The following is a 4,822-nucleotide window of genomic DNA, read 5'->3' on the forward strand; positions in this document are numbered from 1 at the left end:
GACCTGCTTTTGCCACTTGGATGATGACACCCAGGTATCCTGCCAGCCTGAGTTCCTGAATGACTGCAAGGAAGAGACGTACACAAACCACTACCACCATCATCACTCCTATTGTACTTGAAATGAATGAGAAATAACTTTGTATTAAGCCACTGATTTTTTTTCCCAGGTTCATTTGTTACAGCTGCAAGCATTCCTGTTCATTCTTGAAAGCTTGTTGCATACTTAGTTACAAAGAGAAGGAGCCATGCATAGTGATGGGAAGAGCAAGTGAATTTTCAAGTGGATACTTGATTCTAATCCTGCTTTTTGTGCTCTTTTATATGTCTCCCTTCCATTGAAATTTGAGAAGAATTGTTAAACAGTCTGAGCACAGAATTTTAAACTACTTGTCTATCAAAGAGGGCAAAAAGAATGATTTAAGGCTCTTTTTTACATTCCTCTGACAAAGCCTAGCATTAATACTAGGCAATAGAAAAGGCAAAATTTAAAAAATCGTAAGGCTGAAAGGGCTGAGGAAGTGAAGTGGGGTGGTGGGCAAGCACATTTGGGTAAACTGTCCCTAATTGGCAAAAGTGAATACAGTATTATCATCAACCTCTTAGAATCAAAAAACCAAAGCTTGAGATTTATTTTTGACTCTATTATATCCTTGTCTTCTAAATACTATACAAAAAGCTAAGTTAAAATATTTATCCTAAAGCACTATTTAGAATACAGGAACATTTTAATTAGATAATTTGATGAAAAATTTTAGAAATACTGTACACATTTTAAATATAACACATATATAAGATAATAGAATTTTAAAGGTAATTTTATTCAAGAATTTTATTTTACAAGTGAAGAATGAAGTCCAGAGAAGTTAAGCAAATTGTTCAAGATCATACCAGTTAGTGGCAAGTGGAGAAGTAAGACTCCTATGTTCTGTCTCCAGGCAATGTTCTTGCCACCACAGGACACTGTCTATTGCCCAGAAACTACTAGCCCATTATCTTTAGGCAAAAACAAACAAATAAATAAATAAACTGAAAAACCTTACCCTTGAAATGTAAACTCTTCAATTCTACTTCCTTTTGCCTTTCTGTCCAGTATTAAAGTATTTATGTCTTTACTAGCTGACTGAAATCCTTGCAATCTCCAAAACTGGGATAATATCTTAATAACTGCTTTATGGCATAACCTAATGCAATGCTTTGCATAGAGTAAGTACTCTAAAATGTTAATTAAGTTGAATTGTGGTGCCAAAAGAAGGTTTAGGCTGAGGGCAATGGCTCACGCCTATAATCCCAGCACTTTGGGATGCCGAGGCAGGCGGATCACCTGAGGTCAGAAGTTCGAGACCAGCCTGGCCAACATGGTGAAACCCTGTCTCTACTATAAAAACACACACACAAAAAATTAGCTAGGCGTGATGCTGCATGCTTGTAATCTCAGCTACACAGGAGGCTGAGGCAGGGGAATCACTTGAACCCAGGAGTTGGAGGTTGCAGTGAGCCGAGACCGCACCACTGCACTCCAGCCTGTGCAACAAGAATGAAACTCCTTCCCCACCCCCCCCAAAAAAAAGGTTTAATTGGGCCCTGTCTCATTACTTCTTGAGTGTATCAGTTTTTCTGGAGTATTCTCCTTCTTTCCATCCCCATTAATATTGCACTAGGTCAGACTAACAAACTGGACTTTATATCTCAGCTCATTCTCTCCACCTGATTCCATTATGGTTCTTTCTGCACATGGCCACATGCTTTTCTAAAACATAAATCCAATAGAGATTAAACCTTCTGCTTAAAATGCTTCACCTTCTTTATTACTTCATTCAATTTGCACACCTGTGCCAGGTACTCACTGAGAACTGGGGGTAAAATAGAACACAACTTAGACATGGAACCTTTCACCAGGTTCTTAAGGTATAATGGGAACAAGATGGATGGCACAGTATATAATCAGCAATCCCAGTACAATGCAGTACAATGCTTCAAACTAGGAAGTTTCAAACGGTACAATGTTTCAAAGTAGGAAGGCCAGGGACCTGTGGGAACACACAGGACAGTGCCTAGCCCAGAGTTTTTGTGGTAGTGATGGGTGGTAGGGTCAGACAATGTTTCTTGGAGGACAAAGCCCTTAGGCCAAGATCGGAAAAGAATGGGGGAGACAGTCAAGAGAAGACAGGGCAAGAATGTTCCATATAGGGAGAATGACATTTGCCAAGACAAAGAGATGGGTTCATGTCTTAGGTACCTGAATGGAAGGTTAGTGTGGTCAGAGGGTTCCTGGGTAAAGATGAGTCTGCAGAGAATAGGAGGACCAGGTCATGCAGGATCTTTCAAACAAGATTAAAATATTTGGACTTTATATAAGGATATTGGAGGGCATTGAAAGATTTTAAGCAAGGGCAATGCCGTTATTGGATTTGAGTTCTAGAGTTTCAGAGAGCTCATTCTGGATGAAATGTGGTAAATCATAGGATATACTGTAGTCAGAGTTCAGTTGTAGGTAAAATAAACCGTACAAACAGAAGCAGTCTAAAAATGATTGGAATTGCTGGAGGAGCAAAATCTGGGCTGAGCTTCCAGGAAAACCTTCCAGAATAGCACTACAGAACTTGACTGCCAGAGAGCTGATGCCTCTGCTGTGATCAGTGAGCTGGAATATTAAGCCACTGTTTCCATGTAACTGCTGGCTCCAGGACTATCACTTCACTGCCACGATCTGGAAATCAGAAATCTGCTGCCAGCAAAGAGGATGCCTTTTTTCACTGCTGCTTTTCACTTGTGTAGCTAGGGACTGGACACTGGACTCCCTCTACAACTGTCACTGAAAGCCAAATGCTTTCATAACCCTGCTTGCCCCAGAAATAGCAGAAGCAGGCCGCCTGTTCATGATATATCACTTCCACCTTCCAAATCTTTCATGGGTGCACCTGATTGTTGGAATCTACATCGCAACCAGAAGCCTAGCTAAGAAATGTAGTTTTTAATTTTCCAAAAGGAACACAAGGAGGTTGGAATGGATATTGAACAAGCAGATCCAAATGTCCATTGCAGAAGTCAAGACTGGCAGCCAGGAGAGAAATTGGGAGGCTGTTGAATAATTCACATGAGAGGTGAAGGTAGCCTGAACAGGGAATAAGCAGAGTTATTCTTATTTTCTCCTTTTCTTTATTAATCAAGAAAAGGAGGTACACTAGAGAAAGTTTAGGAGGTTGGATTGATTGGTATAGGTTGTTTTGATGTGGTGGCAGGGTGAGTGAGCATACAGTCAGAGATGACACTGGGGGATGATTCCCTGGGAGAGAACCCATGAAGAAGGCAGGCTGGTGGTGAAATGATGAACTCATTTTTCAGCCTCTAAAATCAAATATCTGTGGGGCATCCAAGTAAACAGTGGGAGTTGTTGATACAGGTCTAAAGGCTCAGGAGTGAGGTTGGAGCTGAAGTTAGAGATTTGTGAGTCATCAGCATAGAGCTGGTAAATAAAGTTGAGTAGGAGGATGAGATCACTCCAGGAGAATATATAGAATAATAATAATTTTTTAAAAAAACTGTGGAAAGCAGAATTATAAGATGGTTACCATGACGTTCCCCACCTGGTGTTATTCCCACAATTAAGTTACCTGACAAAAGGGAATTTGCAGATGTAATTAAACTTGCTAATCAATTGACCTTAAGATAAAGAGATTATCCAAGCGTGCCTAACCTCATCATATGGGCCCTTTAAAAGAAGAGAATTGTATCCAGCTGGCAGAAAAAGAAGTCAGAGAGATTGGAGCATAAGAGAGGTTCAACAAGGAGCTTCTCCATTGCTTAGATGGAGGGGCCACATGGGAGGACCTCAGAGTAGTCTCTAGGAGGTGAAAATGAACCCAGTCAACAACAACTACAACAAAAACAGAGACCGCAGAACTGAATTCTGCCAACAATCTGAATGCATTTGTAAGGGGACCCTGAGCTCCAGATGAGAATGCAGAGCCAGCTGACACCTTGATTTCAGCCTTGGGAAAGCAGAGCAGAGGACCTAGCTAACCTGTGCCTGGACTCCTGACCCACAGAAACTGAGAGATAAGAAGTGGATGGTGTTTTAAATTGCTAAGTTTGTGGTAATTTGTTATCTGTTAATAGATCACTTATACAAATATTCAGGTCACAACTCAGGAATACTCACTTTTAGGGGGCAGACAGCAGAAGAGTCACAAAAGAAGATACAGGAGGAGATCCAGAAATATGTAGAGTCATGAAGCTAAAGGAAGAGATCCTGATAAGAAGGAGAAAGTTGTCAAATATGCCGAATATTGGTGAGAATTCAAGTAGGAACCAAAGGGGGTCATAGGAATTTTTTTAGCCATTTGAGTGAAGTTATGTGTAGAAATACTGATTGTAACATATGGAGGAAAAAGTGGAAAGGAAGAAGTGAAGACAGCTCTTTTAGGAGGTTTAGATTTATTTATTTATTTTGAGATGGAGTCTCGCTCTGTCACCCAGGTTGGAGTGCAGTGGCGATCTCGGCTCACTGTAGCCTCCACCTGCCAGGTTCAAGCGATTCTCCTGCCTCAGCCTCCGAGTAGCTGGGACTACAGGCGTGCGCCACCACGCCTGGCTAATTTTGTATGTTTAGTAGAGATGAGGTTTCACCATGTTGCCCAGGCTGGACTCCTGGGCTTCAGCGATCTGCCTGCCTCAGCCTCCCAAAGTGCTGGGATTATAGGCATGAGCCACCGTGCTCGGGCTGGAGGTTTACATTTAAAGAGGAGGAAAAAAATAGAGAGGTAGCTGGATAAGGGGACGTGGCCTCAAGCTAGAGGCACTGTTGTTGCCTAAGAAGGGAG

Source organism: Homo sapiens, chromosome X (assembly GCF_000001405.40).
Source record: "Homo sapiens chromosome X, GRCh38.p14 Primary Assembly".
NCBI lineage: Eukaryota > Metazoa > Chordata > Mammalia > Primates > Hominidae > Homo > Homo sapiens.